The following is a 22,347-nucleotide window of genomic DNA, read 5'->3' as shown; positions in this document are numbered from 1 at the left end:
TTGCCTCTGCCTCATGCTTTGCCTCCTGCCTGGCCAACAGGACATGCCAAGTGCCAATTTTTCTTTTTTTTTTTTTTTGAGACGGAGTTTCACACTTGTTGCCAAGGCTGGAGGGCAATGGCATGATCTCGGCTCACCGCAACCTCCACCTCCCAGGTTCAAGCAATTCTCCTGGCTCAGCCTCTCGAGTAGCTGGGATTACAGGCATGCGCCACCACACCCAGCTAATTTTGTATTTTTAGTAGAGACAGGGGTTTCTCCATGTTGGTCAGGCTGGTCTCGAACTCCCGACCTCAGGTGATCCACCCGCCTTGGCCTCCCAAAGCGCTGGGATTACAGGCGTGAGCCACCATACCTGGCCCTAAATGTTTTCAAAAGGAGGGGCATGTTCTTCATCCCCTTTTCTGTCCTGCTGGCTGAAATGCAGACATAATGGCTGCAGCTCAAGCAGCCACCTTGTGCTGTGAGGCAGGGGCCATGTGTTGAAAATGGCACACAACATAGAACACAGCATAGAGTTAGAAGCCCGGCATCCCAGCCTCCAGCCTTCCCAGCTCCAGGCTGGGAACCTCCCATCTTTGGGATGGGAACTCTTTTACACAAGCCAGTTGTTTTTCAATTTTGTTTTAGAGTATATGCAGCTAAACTTAACTCTTCCTCATACATCTCTCAGAGGCCCAACTCTGGAAAGCGACAGGAGGAAGGAGCCCAGGTGCCTCCACAGCAATGGTGAGGGGCTCCTGGAGAAAAGACAAGTTCTCCAGAGGGCTCTGAATCCACCACCCTGATCCTAGAATTGGTCAAATCACTGTGACTCAACTTCCCTGGTCTGCTGGAAGAAATGAAGGCACACATGGAAAGGAGTGGCTGAGAATTTAATACTGGTAAACACTATAAATTGTAAATGTAAGTTGTAAATGACCTTGTCACTGGAGAGGGGAGAAGGAACTGGAGTCAGACGTCCCAGCAGAAACAGCAGCGGCAACATGCGGTAGGCACACCTGGAGAGCAACAGGCACTTTGGTAAGTGGTTCATGCACATGGTCTTATTTTAGTCTCGGGGCAGCCCTAAGAGGTAGGTATCTGGTGTCACCTTACACATGACGAGACAAACCAGAGAGGTCAGCACAGCAGAAGCTCATGCAGCGACCAAGCAGCAGAGCCTGGATTCAAACCCGAGCCCTGCTGTGTGCAAGAACCCCTGGGACTCAGCTGTTCCTGCTCACAGCAGGCTGAGCACCAGAGCCACCTGGAGGGCCCATAATAGGCACCACTGTGCCCAGGCACGAGGCAGCCAAGTGGCACATGCCACCCGGGGAAGACAACTTGGTGGCAGGGAGAGCAGGTGGGCGGAGCCAAGAAGCCAGGCCAAGGCGCTCAGCACAATCCCTGAGGGGAACTCACCATACCCGGGTGCAGCCCTCAGACTCCCACCAGCCTTCATCAGTGGGTTTTGATGGTGACATGGGAGAGGGCCTGCCCACTCCCAGGTACAGCATAACTGAGGCACAGTCACTAAGCCTGCCCCACTGTAAGGCCTGGCTGTTGGCTGTGGAGAGAGGACAGCCCTGCAGACCCTGGCTCACTGCTCACCCCCACTCCAGGAGCTCCCACATCAGGGCGGGTAGAGCCCGCAGTCCTGTCGCAGATGCCCCTCACCGCACTGTCCTGTCATCCTGACTCCATAGTCCACGGGCGTCAGCAAGCCCTGGGAACACAGTTCACTCCCCTTTGTGGTCCTAGTGTTTAGGACCCAACACAGCTCCTCTAACCAAGGCACAACCTGAAATTCTCTCCTGCCCAGGACTGACAAGCTGGGACAAGGAAGGGACAGGGTTTCCATCAACTCATCCATCTGGAAGGAGTGTGAAGACATGGCCCCTTGTGGAGTTCTAGCTGGCACCCGCAGGGTCTACTCTGGTGGGGGCTACTTTTGTACGAGTCAAGATGCAACTGCTTTATTTTTTAGTTTTTTTTTGAGACAAGGTCACAACGTTGCCCAGGCTGGAGTGCAATGGCGTGATCTCGGCTCACTGCAGCCTCCGCCTCCAGGGTTCAAGTGATTCTTCCACCTCAGCCTCCCAAGTAGCTGGGATTACACGCGTGTGCCACCACACCTGGCTAATTTTTGCATTTTTAGTAGAGACAGGGTTTCACCATGTTGGCCAGGCTGGTCTCGAGCTCCCGACCTTAAGTGATCTGCCCGCCTGGGCCTCCCAAAGTGCTGGGATTACAGGCGTGAGCCACCAAGCCCGGCTGCAACTGCTTTAGAAAGAATTAATTAATCCTTCCACGTTGGGACCCACCTGGGAGCTGCTGGAAGCCTGGGGACGCTGCCCCAGTGTGGTGATGGGGGATGACCTGGCACTCAACTGCTTCCACCACTTCAGTGTCAGTTGAGGAGACTCCTGGGGCCGAGGACAAGGGACAGGCACAGAGGCTCCTCGGTGAAGGGCATGGGGGGCACTGCTCCCCCACTGGCCTCAGGAGCCTGCTTTTCAGAGCAGCAGGTGGGCTCTGGATTCTAGCAACGGACACACTGATCCTTAACCCTGGTTAGGATCTTAACACAGGGAGAACTGTACTTTATTGCAGCCACAGGGCTAACTGCTGGAGACAGACCCATGGGCCCTGGCCATTTCCACCACCCCAAAAACCTGCCCTTGTGCGTGGTATCAAGGACAAACAAATCACAAGCGCACAAATCTGATGAGTGCCAGGTGGGGTGCACATTTGGGAAGATGCCCCCACGTGGCTCTGAAGGCTCTTCCTGGGGGAGGCCTGCTCTCAGCTGCCTGCTCCTTCGGGAATTCAAACCCCAGGCAAAGGCAGCTGACCCCAGGCAAAGGCAGCTGGCCCCAGGCCAGAGAGGTCCTGGCTTCCCAACCTTGAGCTGTGCAGTCATTACCTAGGTGCAGGCTGGGCTACAGGGACAGCCAAGCTGAGCAAGGACAGGTCCCCGCAGCCTAGACTGGGGCACCGCTTCGTTCTCGGTCTCACTCCCCGCTGTGCCGTGCTTTGCCTGTGAGACGGCGGCGCTGGGCCTTGCTGGTACGAGGGGCCCTTGGGGGCTTTTTGGAGTCCTGGGCCCGTCGGGGATGTTTCCTCTTGACCTTTTTGCGGCTGTGTGCATGTAGTGATGCTGTGAGGGAGGAGATCCTAGGGGAGGGCAGAAAGCCTCAGTTTAAGATTGCATTGTGGGGTGACTCACCACCTGGCTCACGGAGGGGATGTCAGGACAGGTTGCGAATGCCAGGACCGCCAAGTTCATGCCAGAGTTGGCCTGCTCTACCTCCAGAGTGCCTGCCAGCAACTCAGCTCAGAGACACAGGCCCTTCACCCAGGCACGAAAAGCACTGGAGGTCAGACACTATCAGGGGTGGGTGGGACAGGACGGGGCAATGAGGAGAGGCAGAGGATCACTGGACAGGCAGAGGGCTGCTCCGGGCCCTACACCTGCTCCACACCACCCTAAGGGCCAGGTCACTACTGCCAGCCAGGAGGGGTGGGACCGGGGAGGCAGCAGGCCAAGACTCACCGCTGAGAGAGCAGGGGGTCTCTGGACTTCCTGGGCAAGGCTTTGGTTGGTTTCTCCGTGGATGACGCCTCCTCCTCAGACCTGTCTCCAGCCCCTCCCTAAAGAGGCACAAGACAATGACTTACATGGAGCAGTAGCTGGGGGGACCTGGGCTGGGCACCCCGAGCCACCATGGCTCTGGCAAGTGGTGGCGCGCCCTGCTGCATCACAGGCCTGGGTTGGGACTAGAGAAGGCTTCTGATGGAAGAAGTCTATCTGCCCTAAAGCAAGGATTACACAGGGGAAGGTCTGTTTCCAAACCCTTTCCTGCCCCTAGAAGCTTCCAGGACATACTTAAACATTCAGGAATGAAAATCCTAGCAAAACGGGGACAAGACTTGTCTTTGTATCAGAACTTGCAGAATAGTGAGCATAAAATGAAAGACCGGTGTGAGATCAGTATGGTTTTGTTTTGTTTTGTTTTTTGAGATGGAGTCTCGCTCTGTCACCCAGGCTGGAGTGCAGTGGCACAATCGTGGCTCACTGCAACCTGCGCCTCCTGAGTTCAAGCAATTCTCCTGCCTCAGCCTCCCGAGTAGCTGGGATTACAGGTGCACGCCACCATGCCTGGCTAAGTTTTTTTTGAGACGGAGTTTTGCTCTTTTTGCCCAGGCTGGAGTGCAATGGCACGATCTCGGCTCACCACAACCTCCACCTCCCAGGTTCAAGCTATTCTCCTGCTTCAGCCTCCCGAGTAGCTGGGATTACAGGCATGTCCCACCACACCCAGCTAATTTTGTATTTTTAGTAGAGACAGGGTTTCTCCACGTTGGTCAGTCTGGTCTCGAACTCCCAACCTCAGGTGATTCGCCCGCCTCGGCCTCCCAAAGTGCTGGGATTACAGGCATGAGCCACTGCGCCTGGCCCCCTGGCTAATTTTTTTACTTTTAATAGAGACGGGGTTTCACCATGTTGGCCAGGCTGGTCTCAAACTCCTGACCCCAGGTGATAACGCCCGCCTTGGCCTCCCAAAATGCCGGGATTACAGGCGTGAGCCACCATGCCTGGCCCTGAGATCAGTATGGATGTGATAGGGGAGTGGCTCCAGGACTTAAGAACACAGTAACCCACACAAGGAAATGTGTTTTATATCGTAATTGTGTGCATATATGTCCATAAATCCTTAGGCACACCCAGATACAACTCCAGTGGAAACAGCTGTCTCATGAAACAATATTTAACATGACACTTTCGGATATTTTCAATTATATTTTTTTTTTATGCTGATTGCAACCTACTCATGATTCACAACCCACAGGTTGAAAACCCACTTAGTGCACACAGACGTGCCAGGGCTGCGAATCGCACAAAGGGAACGATCACAACAAACGGCTACCTTTTGTGAAGCACTTATGACAGGGCTGGGCACTGTGCCAGGTGACTCACATGGATTAACCACTTTCACCCTCATACCAATCCCACAAGGCAGGTGCCACCATCAGCAACCCCCAGTTCACTGATGGAGAAAGGGAAGCAGGCAAGGTGAAGGAGCCTGCCCAAGCTCCTCAGCCGCTCAGCAGTGGGGCTGGTCTTTGCAGCACCCCGGAAGCAGGGAATGAAGGGTCCAAAGGGAAGGAGCCCCAGCAGTGGGGTACCCACAACATGGGCCAGCACTGAGCAACCCCGACAAGCCAGTCTGCCCCCACGCCCCTTCTTCCCAGGGCTGGCAGTGGGATACCCATGACATGGGCCAGCACTGAGCAACCCTGACAAGCTGGTCTGCCCCCACGCCCCTTCCTCCCAGGGCTGAGACTGGGACCCACCTCAGGTGGGGTCAGCCCGAGCAGCCGGGCCCCCGAGAGGTCCAGGTCACTGATGGTGGTCACGGTGACTGTGTGGTTGGGGTGGTCATACTGCACCGACTCCGTCTTTGCTGTCACCAACCGGTCCAGCTCATCTGCCTCCTCTGTGGGGGTGGACACAGACCTGGTCTCAGTCACGGGAACGAGTGACCAGGCTCCAGCCTCCCTCCCGCCCTGGAGTGCAGTGCCCCCTCTACTCTGTGGACGTGGAGCGCATCCACAAGGTCACTGGCTGTAGAGCCTGGTCTGTGGATGAATGTTGTGAATGATCCCGTTTCCTTCATGCTCTAGCTGGTCCCCATGTCAGACAAACCCTCTGTGACAGCTACTGCTGTCCCTCCCCTCCACCCCTAGTCCTTTCCATCCTTAAAAACTGGGCTCTCTTCTCAGGCTTGGTTAACCATGGGGTTTGGGACTCCTTCTCCTGGTCTCTGTTCCACTTGCACTTAGAGGTGCTTAGGACCACCCCTGGCCCCAGGGTACCCCCCAAGATCCCTAGGGCCAAGGAGGTCAGCTTCTATCCCTTCCACCCACCAAGGGTATAAACCAGGCCCATCAGCTGTTCTCCAGGTCAGGCCAAGCATGCCACTTACCCAGAGCCTCTTCTCTCTCTGCCAGCATCTTCAAGTATTCCTGGTGGCGCTGAAACCACACAGGCAGGGAACACAGTGAGTATGGCCTCTCAGTCCAACCTCAGGCTGGGGTATTAATCACCCCCAGGGTGAGGGAGACCATGATCCATACTGCAAGATCAGGAGGAGACTCCATCTTCCATCACTCCCAGACCCGGGCCCACAGAGTCTCCACCTGTATAAACTATTCCCCAGTCCTGCCCACACACACATCGCCCCATGCCAGCAGCTGCCTCTATTAGGGAAATCCAAGGCTGCAAGTGCCCTAAGAATCAAAGACCTCCCTCCCACCTTCCCCCTGCGTACCTCCTCCCGAAGCTTCCTCTGCTCCTCTTTCAGCCGCTGCTTAATCTCCTCAATGGCTGCCTTCTTTCGCTCGACCTTCCGCTTGTGGAAGCCTGTCAGGTACTCCCTACAGGAAGGAAGCCGGCAGAGACAGGAGAGTCATTATACAAGGAGAGAAGGGCTCGCTCTAGGAGAAAAATGGCTAATGCCGCGCTCACTATGTGCTAGGCACCATTCCAAAAAAGTGTAAGTATTAGCTCATTTAACCTTCACAACAATGGCCAGGCATGGTGGCTCACGCCTGTAATCCCAGTACTTTGGAAGGTCGAGGTGGGAAGATCACATGACGCCAGGAGTTCAAGACCAGCCTGGCAAACATGGTGAAACTCCGTGTCTACTAAAAACACAAAAATTAGCTGGGCTTGGTGGCGCATGCCTGCAGTCCCAGCTACTTGGGAGGCTGAGCGGGGAGAATTGCTTGAACCTGGGAGGCGGAGGTTGCAGTGAGCCGAGATCATGCCACTGCACTCCAGCCTGGACGACACAGACTCCATCTCAAAAACAAACAAAAAACCCTCACAATAACCTGTGCGGTGGGTATCAATCTCCATTTTACAGATGGGAACGTTGAGTCACAGAGTCTAGGTTACTTGCCCAAGGTTAGAGAAAGGATACATTTAGGAAAATAAGGGAGATACTGCCTCTTTCCACTCAATACTCTCCAGGGATCTCAGGTTCAGGCAACAGGGCCAGGCTGTGGGGCGGGTGGGGGGGGGGGCCACACACAGTACATGAGGTAACCCCTTCCACACCTACAAACCTCATTACTCTCTCAACAGGGTTTTCAGGGCCACCACCATCCAGACCTTCGGAAACCCTGCACTGGACCAACACCCATGTCCCCAGGACACCTGACCCTAAACTCGCCTGTAGGGCCTGTTGATGCACGCTAGGAGTTTCCTGATGATGCCCAGCATTTCCCTACCTCCTTCCCTCGGTCTAATCTCAGCCCCTTCTCATCTCCACAGTGCTAGCTGCTCTGTTCCCATTTTGTCCCACGGTCCAGCACTGGGCTTTTCGCTGACCCGCTACCATGTGCCATTTATTTATCTGGCCAGACGCTGAGGCTCAGAGGTTCTGCTTCCTGATACGGGACCTGGCACACCAAAGGAGCCCAATAAATGTCTAGGGAGCGAATGAATGAACTTAAGCCACTCTCATTTCATTGGCTCATCATTTATCAACCACGGCTGGGCGCCTGCTGTGTGCCGGACCGATGGACTGGGCTGGGCTAGGGTGGTCGAAGCCACTGCTCTGAGACCCGAGCTTCCGGCTATCTGGCGGCGCACAGACACTAGGCGAGGTGGGGAGGTCAAGAAGGGAGAAGGTGGCGGCCGAGAAGGGAGAAGCGGGAACGCGGGCTGGAAGGCCGAGAGGGGTTCTCTAGCCACGCCAGGGGGCGGGACCGGAAGAGCCCCCGGCGGGAGCGTGCTCGGCCCCAGACCTGGCCTTGGCCGCGAAGAACAGCTCGAGGGGAGTCCGGTCCGGCTTTGCCACTCACCGCCTCTTCTCCTCGTCGAAGCTAAGAACGAGCCTCGGCCGCCGGTCGTCACCATCTCGCTTCTTCTTCTTGTTGCGGCCCATAGCAGTGAGGCCGCCGGCTTCCTCTCCCTGAAGACACTTCCGGGTGTAGCGTACTCATCCTCCCGGGCGCACACTTTAGCGTCGCACCGAAGTTCCGTCCACCAGGCCCAGCCTTTTAAAGGGACCTCCCAGCTCCTTTTCTTCCCTCTTCCCATGCATGACGCGCTGGTCCCTGATCTCTCCGTGACTCCCAGCTCCAGCCCCTCCCCAGCCTCGCTTCAATGAGAGCGAGGTCCCCTGGACCCCACTGCCTAGGACTGTGCCTGGCACACACTCAATATGGAGTTACTCGTGAATGGCCCAAATTTCCTGTACTAACCCTACTTTGGATATTTTTTTCCTTTAATTTATTATTATTGCTTTTGAGATGGAGTCTCGCTCTGTCGTCCAGGCTGGAGTTCAGTGGCGGATGTCGGTTCATTGCAATCCCTGCCTCCCAGGTTCAAGCAATTCTCCGCCTCAGCCTCCTGAGTAACTGGGATTACAGGTGTGCGCCACCATACTCCCTAATTTTTGCATTTTTAGTAGAGACAAGTTTTCACCATGTTGACCAGACTGCTTGAACTCCTGACCGCAAGTGGTCCTCCCATCTCGGCCTCCCAAAGTGCCGGGATTACAGGCGTGAGCCACCGTGCTGGCCCCTACTTTAGATGCTGATGTCAACTCGTTGGTAGTCTCCAAGAGGGAGCCAAACTGCCTGGATTTGTATACTGGCATCACACCTACAGCTGTGTGGTCCCAGACCAATGGTCTTCGCGGTGCCTCACCCTATTTGTAAAATAAGGGAAAGTATAGTAGCTTCGTAGGGTTGTTGTAGACACTGGTTCTGGAACTTTGGCATACATCAGAATCCCCTAGAGGGCTAAAAACCTGGATCGCTGGGCCCCACCCCGGAGTTTCTGATCCGATAGAGGTTTCTGAGTGGATTTCCGTTTCTAGCAGGTTCTCAGGTGATGCTAATGCTGCTGGTCCGTGGACTAAACCTTGACAGCTGTGATTGTGAGGAAGTTAATTATGTAAAGTTTGTCTAACATAAGGCACGCATACATGTGTTTTCTGCACAAGCCATCTTCCCTCTTTGTGCCTCACTTTGCCCAAAGGTGGAATGAGTGTATAATAACATCCTTGACTGAGAATGAGGGCATGGTTGTGAAAGATTGCAGTGAAACAACGCCTGAAGGGGATTTTTAGTCACTTGGATTGTATGCCAGAATCCTTCATCCGCTTTTTTTTTTTTTTTTTCTGAGACAGAGTTTCGCTCTTGTCACCCAGGCTGGAGTGCAGTGTTGTGATCTCGGCTCACTGCAGTCTCCGCCTCCCAGGTTCAAGCAATTCTCCTGCCTCAGCCTCCTGAGTAGCTAGGATTACTGGCACCTGCCAGCACGCCCAGCTGATCTTTGTACCCTGACTCTGAGTTTTGGAAGGAGGCAGGCAGTAAGTGCAGCACTCCAGAATGCTGAATTCATTCCATACAGCTCCTCTGCTTGGGAAATCTATGTGGGATCCTGAGAGGAAGTTACCTTTTTTTTTTTGAGACGGAGTTTCACTCTTGTTGCCCAGGCTGGAGTGCAATGGCACGATCTCGGCTCACTGCAACCTCCGCCTCCCAGGTTCAAGCGATTCTCCTTCCTTAGCCTCCCTAGTAGCTGGGATTATAGGCATGTGCCACCATGCCCGGCTAATTTTGTATTTTTAGTAGAGATGGGGTTTCTCCGTGTTGGTCAGGCTGGTCTCAAACTCCTGACCTCAGGTGATCCACCCACCTCGGCCTCCCAAAGTGCTGGGATTACAGGCGTGAGCCACCGCGCCCAGCTGGAAGTTACCCTTAAACTACAGGCCTGGCCTTTCAGTTCTGTGGCCCAGAGCAATGCAGGGGGCTCCCTTAGGGTGCTGGACTGCACCTCTGACCAGCTGCTTCTGCCCCTTAGTGGCAGTGCCTTAAAGCCACCCTTGGCACCTTCCTGGGTAGAGGCATCACCCTGGCTGAAGGTGCCCAGAGAGTCACCTTCTGCAGCTGGTCTGTCTCCTCCCAGTCCCAGGCTTCGACCTGCTTGGTTTGCCAGGGCTCCACTCCCACCCAGAGTGGTTGGAGATGAAAAGTGAAGGCTCAAGCCGGGCGCGGTGACTCACACCTGTAATCCCAGCACTTTGGAAGGCTGAGGCGGGAGGATCACGAGGTCAAGAGATCGAGACCATCCTGGCCAACATGGTGAAACCCCATGTCTACTAAAAATACAAAAATTAGCTGGGCATGGTGGCACACGCCTGTAGTCCCAGCTACTTGGGAGGCTGAGGCAGAAGAATCACTTGAACCCGGGAGGGTTGCAGTGAGCCGAGATTGCGCTGCTGCACCCCAGCCTGGCGACAGACAGTAGAGCAACATAGTAAGACCCTGTCTCTACAAAAAATTAAAAATTAGCCAGGCGTGGTGACATACTCCTATAGTCCAGCGACTTGGGAGGCTGAGGTGGGAGGATCACTCAAGCTCAGAAGTTTGAGGCTGCACTGCAGCTGTGATCATGCCACTGCATTCCACCCTGGGTGACAGAGTGAGACCCCATCTCTGAAAAAAAAAAAGAAAAAAAAAAAAAACAGGCCAGGCGCAGTGGCTCATGCCTGTAATCCTAGCATTTTGGGAGGCCAAGGTGGGTGGATCAATTGAGGTTCGGAGTTCCAGACCAGCCTGACCAACATGATGAAACCCCATCTCTATTAAAAATATGACAATTAGCCGGGCGTGGTGGTGCATGCCTGTAATCCCAGCTACTCGAGAGGCTGAGCTACTCGAGTAATCACTTGAACCCAGGAGACAGAGGTTGCAGTGAGCCGAGATCCCGCCACTTCACTCTAGCCTGGTCAAAAGAGCAAAACTCTGTCTCAAAACAAAAAACAAAAACAATAAGAAAAGAAGTGATGATAAACTTAATGAGGAAAAAGAGTAACAAGAGCAGCTGACATTTATTTAGCTCTTTACTCTCTTTAGATTATTGATTTTATTATTTATTTATTTATTTATTTATAGAGATGAGGGTCTCACTATGTTGCCCAAGCTGGTCTCAAACTCCTGGGCTCAAGCGATCCTCCCCATTCAGCTTCAGGAGTAGCTGGAACCACAGGTGCCCACCACTGTGCCTGGCTTATGATGATCTCTTTTGAGGTACAATCCACATTTTACTGAGGAGGAAACTGAGGCTCAGAGAGGTGCAGTCACTTGTCTGAGGTCACACAGGCAAAAACAGGTGCTGAGGGTGGGGCGCAGGTGGCCTAAGGACAGAGATTGACTTAACTTATCTGGACCTAGTTTCCTAGGCCCTTGGGACACACCAAGCCTTAAAAGGGGTGAAGGGAACCAACACTCACCGAGCCCCTATTGCGTGCCAGGCACCATGCATTTCTATACATCACCTCAGCTAATCTTTTTTTTTTTTTTTTTTTTTTGAGACGGAGTCTTGCTGTGTCGCCCAGGCTGGAATGCAGTGGCATGATCTCGGTTCACTGCAACCTCCTCTTCCCGGGATCAAGTGATTTTCCTGCCTCAGCCTCCCCAGTAGCTGGGACTACAGGCATGCACCACCATGCCCGGCTAATTTTTGTATTTTTAGTAAAGACGGGGTTTCACTTGTTGGCCAGGCTGGTCTCAAACTCCTGACCTCAAATGAATCTCCTGCCTCAGCCTCCCAAAGTGCTGGGATTACGGGTGTGACCCACCACACCCAGCCAATACTAGTGCAGTCTTTTTTTTTTTTTGAGATGGAGTCTCGCTCTGTCACCCAGGCTGGAGTGCAATGGCGCAATATCGGCTCACTGCAACCTCTGCCTTCCGGGCTCAGGCGATTCTCCTGCCTTAGCCTCTTGAGTAGCTGGGATTACAGGCACGCGCCACTGCGCCCGGCTAATTTTTTTTTTTTTTTTTTTTTTGAGACGGAGTCTCGCTCTGTCGCCCAGGCTGGAGTGCAGTGGCGGGATCTCGGCTCACTGCAAGCTCCGCCTCCCGGGTTCACGCCATTCTCCTGCCTCAGCCTACCAAGTAGCTGGGATTACAGGCATGCACCACCATGCCCGGCTAATTTTTTATATTTTTAGTAGAGACGGGGTTTCTCCATGTTGGTCAGGCTGGTCTCGAACTCCCGACCTCAGGTGATCCACCCGCCTCGGCCTCCCAAAGTGCTGGGATTTACAGACGTGAGCCACCATGCCCGGCCTAATTTTTGTATTTTTAGTAGAGACGGGGTTTCGCCATGTTGCCCGGGCTGGTCTCGAACTCCTGACCTTAGGTCATCCACCCACCTCGGCCTCCCAAAGTGCTGGGATTACAGGCGTGGGCCAGCGTGCCTGGCCAACTAGTGCAGTCTTAACAAAGTTTGCCAGATGAGGAAACTGAGGTTCAGAGACGTTGAATAACTGGTCCAAGGGCACACAGCCACAGAGCTGGGGTTTAAACACAGGTCTGTCTGACGCTGAGCCGGGCTTCCTTCCTCCACACCCAGTGGCCTCTCTTACCTGCCCCAGGACTTTCCTCTGCCCGGTTGTGGCCCCAGTCCTAGTGTCCTGTGAGTGTCAGCCAGTGTAGGGGAGAATCAATGTGGGTGAACTGAGGACAAGGCAGGGCAGCCTGGGGGACGTGTTCTCCAATGTCCAGCAGAGGGCACTCCATCTGCAGCCAGGCTTCTGAAGCTGTTTCTGGGTGGCCACCTGGGAGCCCCAGGAGAGCCTGGAGATTGGGTGTGGCTCATGGGAGTTCTCAGCATGTGTGTTCCATCCTCTTTGACCTCATAGAGAGATACATGACCCCCGCTTCCACCCAGGTCCCAGGGCACCCACTGAGATGGAAATCATCTACCCAAAATGGGTCTCATTTTATGGATGAGGAAACTGAGGCTGGGTGTATAAGAGACCTACTCACAGCTGGTGCCAGTTGCCCTAGAAAGTGAGATTTGCCAAGACCCCCCCACCCACGCACCATGCCTCAGGAGACTGTGCCTTGGGGTTATGGGGGAGCCTAATGATGTTCTCATTCTAACCTTCTGAACTTTGGCTCAGTTCCTGCAGCTGGTTCCCAGAGAGGTAGGGGCCCTGGGAAGATCTGACTGCAGCAGCAAGCAGGAAGGAAAAGGTGCAGGGAAGTAGTCAGTCTGCAGGGCACCCTAGCCGTCCACTCAGGCCCCAGCAGTTGTGATGGGTGGGTTTGATGGGGTTGGGTTAAGCATTACCCTCCAAGGTAACAGCCTGGGCTGGTCTTGGAGGAGACACTGTCTTTGGAAACCAGGAGAGAACAGGCTCATGGAGACCTCATCTCAGGTTGAGTGAGTCACCCCTACTCTGTACCCCAAGGAGGAGGCTGCGGGAGTCTGGAGGCTGGGCCTCATGTTGGCTGGCTTTTACCTCTTGGTTCTCTGCAGAGGCTGACGTAGCCCCCAACCCCAGCTCCTCCTACCACAGAAACGGGCTGGCAATGGGGTGCCAGGGTCATCACCCAAACCCACTGTTGGGGTGGGGGCATCTGCCCAGGAATGAGAGCCGGCAGCTTCCAGACTAGTCCTTTGGTTGCCCATACAGTCTAGCAAAGTGGGGTGCATGGCCTGAGCCCACAAAGCCGGGATCCCTGAGGAGCCCCGCAGGCTCAGCTGGACCTGGTACAGATCCGGGAGTCATTTCATCAATCAGAGCCCATTTCTTCCCCTTCAATTGGAGTAATAGCACCTCAAAAGTGGTGCAGGGATCTGGGTACGGTGACACACACCTGTGGTCCCAGCTACTCAGAAGGCTGAGGCAGGAGTATTGCCTGAGCCCAGGACTTTGAGTCTGCAGTATGCCATGATCATGCCTGTGAACAACCACTGCACTCCAGCCTGGGCAACATAGGAAGACCCCCATCTCTAAAAAAATAAAAATAAAAAAAAAAATAATCCGTGCACGAGGTATGGGAAACCACTATCCACTAAGCATTTACCATATGCCAGGTATTGAACTTGGCTTCTTTCATGCAACACCTCATTTAATCTCCACTTGATCTCAGCCAGAAGGCCAAGAAGTGACTGGTCTTTGGAACAACTCTTTGATAGGCTGTTTGTGTTATCCTCCTTGTTATAAAGGAATAAGCTGAGGTTCAGAGAGGTCAGTTAACATGCACAAGGCCACATAGCTGGCAGCCCGTTGTTGTCTGACTCCAAATCTCTTTCTAGCTCATGAAGGCAAATGAGAGGGGTCTCGTATTCTTCCCTCCACCTCCCTGTCTTCTGCCCCGTCACTACACACGAATTGGTCTGTCCTTGCCTCTTTCCCCCTTGATGTCATTTATGCAACATCCTTTGAGCATCTGCTGTGTGCTAGGGCCCACTAGGCTAAAAACAGTTTCAGGGCAGGGACTGACTTTTATTCAGTGGTCACTGACCCTCCTACTATGTGCCAAACTCTGTGTGCTTTGTCTGGGGGACCCAGCGGAAGACGTCATTGGAACTGAGGAGGTACCCGTGGACAAAGCGAATGGAAGTGAAGGAAGGGGGCAGGCCTGGAGGTGGGGGACCCCTCTCACACACACAAACACATGCACACACATACACACACACGCACAAGCACACACACGAGGCTGGTTCAGAGGGAGCAGAGGCAGCTGCCTTTATTGGGGGCCATGGGCTGGCTGATTTCAGTCAAAGGCCACACATTTGATCTTGAAGTCACCGTCAGCTGCCATGTAGTTGATGGCCTCCAGGTTGAGGCGGTTGGGGAACTTGAATTCGTATCCATCTGGCAGCTTGACGGTCAGGTTGGCCTGGTCGAAGGTGATGCACACCTGGGGGTAGAGGAGAGCAGTGAGCCGGGCCCACATGCCATGGGCCCTTCCAGAACCCGTTCCTCATGTGGCCCTGACACAGCCCCAGTTTGTGGCTGAGCCTGCGGAGGTACATTTATAATATTTTTTCTTTCTTTTTACTCTAATCCTATGATAGATTTTTTTTTTTTTTTGAGATGGAGTCTCCTCTGTCGCCCAGGCTGGAGTACAGTGGCATAATCTCGGCTCACTGCAACCTCCGCCTCCCAGGTTCAAGTGATTCTCCTGTCTCAGCCTCCTGAGTAGCTAGGACTACAGTTGTGTGCCACCACGCCCAGCTAATTTTTGTATTTATATAGAGACGGGGTTTCACCATGTTGGTCAGGCTGGTCTCGAACTCCTGACCTCAGGTGATCCACCCACTTTGGTCTCCCAAAGTGCCAGGATTACAGGCATGAGCCAGCACGCTGGCTAATTTTTTTTTTTTTTTTTGAGACAGAGTTTTGCTCTTGTTGGCCAGGCTGGAGTGCAGTGGTGCAATCTCGGCTCACTGCAACCTCCGCCTCCCGGGTTCAACCAATTCTCCTGCCTCAGCCTCCTGAGTAGCTGGGATTACAGGCATGCGCCATCACGCCTAGCTAATTTTTTGTATTTTTAGTCGAGACAGGGTTTCTCCATGTTGGTCAGGCTGGTCTCGAACTCCCGACCTCAGGTGATCCGCCCGCCTCGGCCTCCCAAAGTGCTGGGATTACAGGCATGAGCCACCAAGCCCAGCCTTTTTTTTTCCCCTTCGTTTTATTGTAATCAACCACTGAGGTTCAAAGAGGGGCAGACACTGGCCATCACACAGGAAGGGAGGGAAGGGGAGGGGAAAGAGCAGGCAGGGCCAAGGTCTCTAGTCACTAACCCAGCCCCGCCCCAGCCCACCCAGCCCCTGTCCCTGGTCCCCGGTTCCGGTCTGCAGCCCACCTCTGCAACACTTCCAGGCTGGAAGGGAAAGACAGCCTCCCGCTGCTCGGTCCCCCAGGCCCCGCCGTCCTTGCTGTTGCACACGATGGTGTTGGCGTCGCCGTGGGCGTTGAAGCGAGGGTTGAAGTGCAGGCACAGGTTGTTGCTGTCTTTGCCCAGGTTCAGCACGAAGCTGGGGGGTAACGGGTGGGCATGAGGCCACCTCGGCCAGCTCCAGCCCCACTGACCGACTAATCTGTCACTCAGTATCCCATGAACGCACCTTGCTGGAAGAACTCACTAACAGAGACAAGAAACCTGGATTCTAGCTCTGGCCATGCCACCTGCTCCTGCCCCTCTTCCCCTGTTTGCTCATCTGTACAATGGGGGCTGCACAGGAGGGCTCGCTTGATTCTTGAAGTCATTAGCATCCTAGCCCGTTTGGTCAAGGTCAGTGACTCCCTCCAGATGGTGACCTCCCGTCCTGTCTTGTACATCTCTGTATTCCCGGTGCCCAGCACAAGTGGGGCACACCAGAAAAAGATGCTTAGTAATTATGGGGCGAATTAACAAATAATAATAATAATACTCCCGGGCACGGTGGCTCATGCCTGTAACCCCAGCACTTTGGGAGGCCGAGGCGAGCGGGCAGATCATGAGGTCAGGAGTTCGAGACCAGCCTGGCCAACATGGTGAAACCCCGTCTCTACTAAAAGTACATAAATTAGCTGGGCGTTGTGGTGGGCCCCTGTAATCCCGGCTACTCAGGAGGCTGAAGCCGGAGAATCGTTTGAACCCGGGAGGCGGAGGTTGTGGTGAGCCGAGATCACGCCATTGCACTCCAGCCTGGGCGACAGGGTGAGACTGTGTCTCAAAAAATAAATAAATAAAATAATAAAATAATAAATAAATAAATAAAATAATAAATACATTTGTTGAGTGGTGATAATAGCAATACCTGCCTCTGAGGGTTTGGTTGAAATGAAATTAGTGCATGAGAAGTGTGCGGCTCTTAACAATATCAGCTGATCCTCATCCTCCTCACTGTCACTGCGCCAGCCGCATCTCACTTCCTCCACACAACCACCTCCCCCCTTGTTTTTCTAACAAACTGAGGCTAGGTGAGGTTGGTTGACTGGTCCAAGGTCACCTAACTGCCGAGAAAATAAGGCAGCCGTCTGAGTGAATGAGAAGTGAAGGAAGAAGGACCGGACTGAGCCAGTGAATGAATGAATGACCAGACGCAGGAAGGAGGGACTCAGGGGGAAGGCGGCGGTGACGCCCGCCCCACTCCTCTCCCCGCCCTCCCCAGCGACAGGTCCCGCCCAGACCGGAAAGGGGTGGGGGCGGGGGAGTCAAGGTATTACAGATGACGAGGCTGCAGCTGGTTTAGTTTAAGAGGCTACAGCAGGGAGGGAGCGGGGGAGGGGGCGGCAACGGTGGGGGCGCCCAGACCCTGCGGGGGAAGTGAGTCACCCAGAAAACGCAGCATCGGCGGCTGGCCGTTAACCCGCTCCCGGCCAGGGAGGAGATGTGGGCTTGGCCGGCCACGCCCTCCCTGCTGGACCAAGCCCGTCCCTGCCGCCCACCACCCCGACTTCACTTCTCACCTCTTAGCGTCAGGAGCCACCTCGCCTCGCACTCGAAGGCACTCTCCAGGTTTGAGATTCAGGTTGCTGGCGACCAGACCCTGCACAGACAAGCCCCGGCCCAGCCGGGTTAGAGGACAAGGCCTCCACTGCTCGAAGTGTCCGGGGGTGGCTGGGGGTGGGAGTGGGGTTGTTCCCGCCCGGCATCCTCTGACCAAGCCAAGGGGAAGCCTGGGGAAAGGATTGAGCTGTAATTTCCAGCCTCCGATTGTCTATGTGGTCCTGGGAAAGTCCCTATTCCCACCGGGGTTGGCTTCAGTCTGTAACGTGAAGGTTCTAGAAGACAGGCTCTAGAAGATTTTGCAGATTGGCTTGGGAATTTTGGACTCAAGAGTGACTTGGGAGATGGGGTGCTCTGTCCCATCGCAGATGGAGAGGATCAGGCTGGGGAGGGGCCGACACTTGGCCCACCGTCACACTGAATGGAGGGGCCGGCCCCTCTGCTGGAGAGGAAGTGGCTAGGGGCGGGCGACCCCACTATTCTCCTTCAAGCCCCTCTCTGCAAAGAGGCCCAGGGGCTAGAGAGGAGACCCTGAAAAACACGGCCTCTCTGCATTAGGGAGAATAGCCCTGCAGTCGGGCTGTGGCTGGGCTGGCTCAGGGTTAACAAGATTGAGCAAACTGCTGGGCACTGCTGTTCCCTGGCACCCCGAGTGGGTGGGCAAGAGTTAACTGGTTTGAGTGGTTTCTTCTGCCAGAAACTTGAACCCTTTCCCTGGGGCCCGAGGAAGATTCTCACCTCCCTGCCACCCCAACCTCCCAGCTTGGGGGTGGTGGAAGGGAATTTCCCCCGCCCCCCCCGCCACCAGCCTGGACACAACCACCCTCCACCCCCGACCTAGAAGGGCCCATCCTGGGCAGCTTGTCTCGGGTCCTGGCAACTTTTCAGCGTTCTCTGGAGCAGAGGGTAACTCTGCCCTGGCCTGGTGACCGGGACAGCTGCAGGGGGGAGGGGACAGGAGGCTCTTTGGGGTGGAGGAGGGGGAAAGGGATAGTGGCCTGGGTGTCCCCCAGTTGGCCACACCCTTCCCACGCTCACTTCTCAGAGAGCTGCAGAATGTCAACCCTGGGCAGAAATAACTGTGCTTTCAGACCCTGGAGGAATCCAGACAATTATCAATGCAGAGAAGGCCTTGAGGGACCATGGCGCCCACCCCCATTTTACAGATGTGGCCACTGAGGTCCAGAAAAGAGAAGGCACTGGTTCCAGGCCACACAGCTGGGGCTAGAATCTGCTCCCGATCTGCCCAGCTCTCCTCTGGCCATCAGTTCCTGCCCTATCCCCTGGACCTTGGGGGGGGGTCCCCACACTCACACAAGCCATGATTGAGTCCAGGAGGATGTTCCCGGGCAGGCGCACCAGCTGTCAGAAGACTCCACCCGAGAGAGATGGGCCCCCGGACGCTCCCACCCTTTTAACTGGACCGGACCGGGTGAGCCCCGCCCCCTGAAAGTTCAGCCAATTGCAAGTCAGGATAGGGCTGGGGGCCACTGGGGGCGGAGTCCGTGGAATTTTGAAGCCAGTTTTGGAGCAGAGGTGACCAATCAGAGTGGCGAGCTGCTGCCCCCCCTCACCCCGCCGCCCCCGGCCAGAGTCCAAGCTCCACCTCCTATTCTCCTTCATCCCTCTCCACCTCCCCACCAAAATTGTGCTGTGGCAGAGATTGGGGGAAGCCAGTGGAAAATAGTTTGATGATGAGCTAGGCCCACAAGTTGGCGGGAAGGGGCCTGTGGCCAGCAGGCTGGGCTCAGGGGGTGCCCAGAGAAGATGGCTGAGGAGGTGCAGGGTCCTTCAGGGAATCAGAGCTGGGGGAGACCAGGCCACTCCCGGGCAGGGACCAGGGCGTGGCTCCTGCTGCGTGCGCGTCTGCAGAGGGCCACTGACTTAACCACAGGCCCTGGCCCCACCCGGGCCTTCCCCGGAAGCAAGGACTGCGGCTGCTGCAGCGCTCTCTCGCTGGCTCCTCGGGAAGGCTAAAGAAAGGCTGGGCCGGGCGCCAAGCCTGAGGCTGCAGGGCTTGGCTAAGGCCTCGGGCTTGGCCGCGTTCAGGGGCAGGCAGGGGATAGTCAAAGCGCCCTGGCCTGACAGCCTCAGGCCTGAGAGTGTCAAGCTTAGGAGATGGCCCAGGGTGGTCCAGACCAGGAGGGGGTGGGGTCCTGGCTCTGTGCACCCTGTCCTTTCTCTTTTTTATTTTTATTTATTTATATATTTATTTTTGAGATGGAGTCTCGCTCTGTCGCCCAGGCTGGAGTGCAGTGGCGTGATCTCAGCTCACTGCAACCTCTGCCTCCCAGGTTCAACTGATTCTCCTGCCTCAGCCTCCCGAGTAGCTGGGACTACAGGCCCCCACCACCACACCCGGCTAATTTATGTACTTTTAGTAGAGACGGGGTTTCACCACGTTGGCCAGGCTGGTCTCAAACTCCTGACCTCAGTTGATCCACCCGCCTCAGCCTCCCAAAGTAATGGGATTACAGGTGTGAGCCACCATGCCTGGCCACCCTGTCTGCTCTCTTAACATCTCCTCTGAGGCCCGGCACAGCCCTCCCTTCCCTGAGTGTTCAGCAGGTATTTTACTGAGCACCTACTATGTACCTGGCCCTGGGCTCTGAGGATTCAAAGCTGAACCCCTCCCAGTCCCCACTCTCAAGGAGCGCATAGTTGGGGTGGAATCTGACCACAACCACGTTAAGAAGTAGATGATGGGCTGGGCGCAGTGGCTCACGCCGGTAATCCCAGCTCTTTAGGAAGCCGAGGCGGGCGGATCACCTAAGGTTAGGAGTTCGAGACTAGCCTGACCAACACGGAGAAACCCCATCTCTACTAAAAATACAAAATTAGCTGGGCATGGTGGCATATGCCTGTAATCCCTGCTACTCCTGAGGCTGAGGCAGGAGAATCGCTTGAACCCAGGAGGCAGAGGTTGCAGTGATCCGAGATCAGTCTATTGCACTCCAGCCTGGGCAATAAGAGTGAAACTCAGTCTCAATTAAAAAAAATAAAAAATAAAAATAAAAATAAAAAGAAGTAGATGATGATGGCTGTAAGGGAAGCCATGAGAAAGTGCTATGGTGGGCTGGCGGCTGCATGAGTAAAGGAGGTGGGTCGTGAAGGGTAGGCGGAGAAGTGCCTGGCTTTCCACCATGGGCAGAAGCTCCAGAATGAGAAGGCCAGGGCTGGAGAACAGTGTTCCGGGCATGTGGGGGAAAAACGGGGATGAGGCTGGGAAGCCAACAGGACCTGGACCATGGAGGGCCTCATGGGCTGGGCACAGGGCTTGGACATTGTTGTATGGGAGGAGGCTGGGGAGCCAGGGCTAGAGGGAGGGTGAGTACTGAGGCCAGATTTGGGCTCTAGGGAAGATCACTGTGGCAGAGAATTGAGGGTGGGTGGGAGGGGTGCTCACCTTACACTCAGGAACCTGGTGGAGGAAGGGGCGTGGGGAGCACTGGGCAAAATGAGGGGCATGCTGGGGGGTTGTCACGGGGACCTCCTTCTCCACCTGGCCGTCCCCCTTCTGAAACTGCTGGCACCAAAGAGGGACGAAGATGCGGACCAGGAGTGACTCACATCTGGAAGCCAGGCCAACACACCCACCCTGCCTCTCAGGGGCACCTTCCTCCAGATGCCCAAAGCCCACTCTGGTACAGGATGAGAGGGGAGTGTGTAGGGCCGCAAGGCGGACCCAGAGAGGGGATGGGGTTGCACCCCTGTGAGTGCCTTACCCCTCCTTCCAGACCAAGTGGCTGCTTGGAAACCAACCACAGCAGCTTCACTTTTTCCTCCGGGCCTCCCCAAAACCTCAACCATAGGAAGGGCTGGATGGGGCCCAGCCTAGTTCCACTGCCCCTCCCCCATGCCTCCCCTCTCTGCCAGATCAAGGAATGGGGCATCTCAGGCGGAGTCCTAGACCGAGGGTCAGAGGCGCTTCAGGTGTGGTCCTCGCCGGGCTGCGGGCGGGTGGGTGTGGCCACTTTCCCAGCCCAGCCCAATAATTGGGTTCTTGTAGCCTCAGGAGCTGCTCCTGCATCCTCCTCCACCCTGGAAAATGGGCCCGGCATCAGGGACTGTTTGCTGTTGGATGGAGGGACAATTTACTCCTCTGCAGCGTCTGGCATGAGTGGGGCTGGCAGGGAGGCAGGGTGGCATGGTGAAGAGGTCCCTAGAAAGGCCTATTTGGGAGTCTAGACACGCGGGTGCTGGCCCTGCTTGCTATGTCCCCTCAGAGCCTCCTGGCAAGCTGCTTCTCCCACTTGCCTCAGTCTCCCTATCTGTAAATTGGGGAGATGAAATCCTGCTTTCCTTGCACGAGGTGAATACAGGGTGGAACTGAGGTCTGTTGTACTAAACAGATGATTCGTGTTTTCATGGAGGCTCAGAAGGTTTTCACTTCCTTCTTGTCTCTTCCCAGGCTGTTACCTTCCCTAGGTCTTTGCAGCACCTCTGGGAGGTCTACATGTCATGCCCAACAGGTCCCCAACAGTCTCCTCTTGCCGAGGTTGGGGCAAGAAGTCTCTCCAGATTCCAGTGTCCCCTGTGACAGGAGCTGCGGTTTTCCTGGCGGGGAGGGAAGGCAGGGACACAGGTGCATCGTGGGCCTCCTCCCCCTAGTCCTCAGGGCCTCCTAGTGGCAGCGCCCACTTATCTTGCCAGGCCCTGTGCCCGGCGCCTTGCTTTCATTATCTCCCCTCTCATCTTCCCCTCGCCCCTACTTTGTGTCTGCCAACTTGGTTGAATTTCTGCACAGGGAAATGAAGCTGCAGTTAGAATCAGAAGAGGCCGGGCACGGTGGCTCATGCCTGTAATCCCAGCACTTTGGGAGGCTGAGGTGGGTGGATCACCTGAGGACAGGAGTTCGAGACCAGCCTGGCTAACATGGCAAAACCCCATCTCTACTAAAAATACAAAAATTAGCTGAGTGTGGTGGCGGGTGCCTGCAACCCCAGCTACTCAGGAGGCTGAGGCAGGGAGAATTGCTTGAATACAGGAGATGGAGGTTGCAGTGAGCCGAGATAGTGCCACTGTACTCCAGCCTGGGTG

The 22,347-nt window shown here is 55.2% G+C and overlaps 2 protein-coding genes across 2 annotated transcripts, besides 11 other annotated features; both read right to left on the bottom strand.

Annotated features, from left to right (window-relative positions):
* On the bottom strand, window positions 859-7,990 carry NOL12 (nucleolar protein 12). The gene is made up of 6 exons (NM_024313.3): window positions 7,858-7,990; window positions 6,318-6,423; window positions 5,973-6,021; window positions 5,341-5,483; window positions 3,539-3,636; window positions 859-3,159 (listed from the first exon to the last, which is right to left on the bottom strand). The coding sequence occupies exons 1-6, from the start codon at window positions 7,938-7,940 to the stop codon at window positions 2,997-2,999; spliced, it is 642 nt and encodes a 213-aa protein (NP_077289.1). The 5' UTR covers window positions 7,941-7,990; the 3' UTR covers window positions 859-2,996.
* Window positions 7,089-8,029: an enhancer, noted in NCBI's record as "H3K27ac hESC enhancer chr22:38082311-38083251 (GRCh37/hg19 assembly coordinates)". NCBI's record gives its function as "activates a minimal SCP1, AML or CMV promoter by ChIP-STARR-seq in primed H9 embryonic stem cells {active_cell/tissue: H9 hESC(primed)}" and the evidence as "EXISTENCE:reporter gene assay evidence [ECO:0000049][PMID:30033119]".
* Window positions 7,089-8,086: a biological region, named in NCBI's record as "H3K27ac hESC enhancer GRCh37_chr22:38082311-38083251".
* Window positions 7,897-8,086: an enhancer, noted in NCBI's record as "active region_18988". NCBI's record gives its function as "activates an Ori minimal core promoter by ATAC-STARR-seq in GM12878 lymphoblastoid cells {active_cell/tissue: GM12878}" and the evidence as "EXISTENCE:reporter gene assay evidence [ECO:0000049][PMID:35858748]".
* Window positions 8,030-8,971: an enhancer, noted in NCBI's record as "H3K27ac hESC enhancer chr22:38081369-38082310 (GRCh37/hg19 assembly coordinates)". NCBI's record gives its function as "activates a minimal SCP1, AML or CMV promoter by ChIP-STARR-seq in primed H9 embryonic stem cells {active_cell/tissue: H9 hESC(primed)}" and the evidence as "EXISTENCE:reporter gene assay evidence [ECO:0000049][PMID:30033119]".
* Window positions 12,320-12,820: an enhancer, noted in NCBI's record as "H3K4me1 hESC enhancer chr22:38077520-38078020 (GRCh37/hg19 assembly coordinates)". NCBI's record gives its function as "activates a minimal SCP1, AML or CMV promoter by ChIP-STARR-seq in primed H9 embryonic stem cells {active_cell/tissue: H9 hESC(primed)}" and the evidence as "EXISTENCE:reporter gene assay evidence [ECO:0000049][PMID:30033119]".
* Window positions 12,320-12,874: a biological region, named in NCBI's record as "H3K4me1 hESC enhancer GRCh37_chr22:38077520-38078020".
* Window positions 12,675-12,874: an enhancer, noted in NCBI's record as "active region_18987". NCBI's record gives its function as "activates an Ori minimal core promoter by ATAC-STARR-seq in GM12878 lymphoblastoid cells {active_cell/tissue: GM12878}" and the evidence as "EXISTENCE:reporter gene assay evidence [ECO:0000049][PMID:35858748]".
* On the bottom strand, window positions 14,531-18,697 carry LGALS1 (galectin 1). Its single transcript, NM_002305.4, has 4 exons — window positions 18,622-18,697; window positions 17,268-17,347; window positions 15,679-15,850; window positions 14,531-14,730 (listed from the first exon to the last, which is right to left on the bottom strand). Exons 1-4 carry the CDS (start codon window positions 18,628-18,630, stop codon window positions 14,584-14,586), a joined length of 408 nt encoding a protein of 135 aa, NP_002296.1. The 5' UTR covers window positions 18,631-18,697; the 3' UTR covers window positions 14,531-14,583.
* Window positions 16,071-16,881: an enhancer, noted in NCBI's record as "H3K4me1 hESC enhancer chr22:38073459-38074269 (GRCh37/hg19 assembly coordinates)". NCBI's record gives its function as "activates a minimal SCP1, AML or CMV promoter by ChIP-STARR-seq in naive H9 embryonic stem cells {active_cell/tissue: H9 hESC(naive)}" and the evidence as "EXISTENCE:reporter gene assay evidence [ECO:0000049][PMID:30033119]".
* Window positions 16,071-17,234: a biological region, named in NCBI's record as "H3K4me1 hESC enhancer GRCh37_chr22:38073459-38074269".
* Window positions 16,725-17,234: a silencer, noted in NCBI's record as "silent region_13694". NCBI's record gives its function as "represses an Ori minimal core promoter by ATAC-STARR-seq in GM12878 lymphoblastoid cells {active_cell/tissue: GM12878}" and the evidence as "EXISTENCE:reporter gene assay evidence [ECO:0000049][PMID:35858748]".
* Window positions 18,755-18,894: a silencer, noted in NCBI's record as "silent region_13693". NCBI's record gives its function as "represses an Ori minimal core promoter by ATAC-STARR-seq in GM12878 lymphoblastoid cells {active_cell/tissue: GM12878}" and the evidence as "EXISTENCE:reporter gene assay evidence [ECO:0000049][PMID:35858748]".

The sequence above is a fragment of the Homo sapiens genome, chromosome 22 (assembly GCF_000001405.40).
Source record: "Homo sapiens chromosome 22, GRCh38.p14 Primary Assembly".
Taxonomy (NCBI): Eukaryota; Metazoa; Chordata; class Mammalia; order Primates; family Hominidae; genus Homo; species Homo sapiens.
The sequence above is the reverse complement of the archived record's forward strand: the minus strand, read 5'-3'. Positions and strand labels throughout refer to the sequence as shown.

Bases quoted from the DNA above. Each gene is read 5' to 3' on its own strand.
- LGALS1 (NM_002305.4), bottom strand. The intron at 15,851-17,267 runs GTGAGAAGTGAA...GTTACCCCCCAG, and splicing joins GTGGCTCCTGACGCTAAGAG to CTTCGTGCTGAACCTGGGCA. The intron at 14,731-15,678 runs GTGGGCTGCAGA...CTCTACCCCCAG, and splicing joins AGCCTGGAAGTGTTGCAGAG to GTGTGCATCACCTTCGACCA.
- NOL12 (NM_024313.3), bottom strand. From the start codon at position 7,940: ATGGGCCGCAACAAGAAGAAGAAGCGAGATGGTGACGACCGGCGGCCG. The intron at 6,022-6,317 runs GTACGCAGGGGG...GTGTGGTTTCAG, and splicing joins AGAGGAAGCTTCGGGAGGAG to CGCCACCAGGAATACTTGAA. The intron at 3,637-5,340 runs GTGGGTCCCAGT...GTGCCTCTTTAG, and splicing joins TCGGGCTGACCCCACCTGAG to GGAGGGGCTGGAGACAGGTC.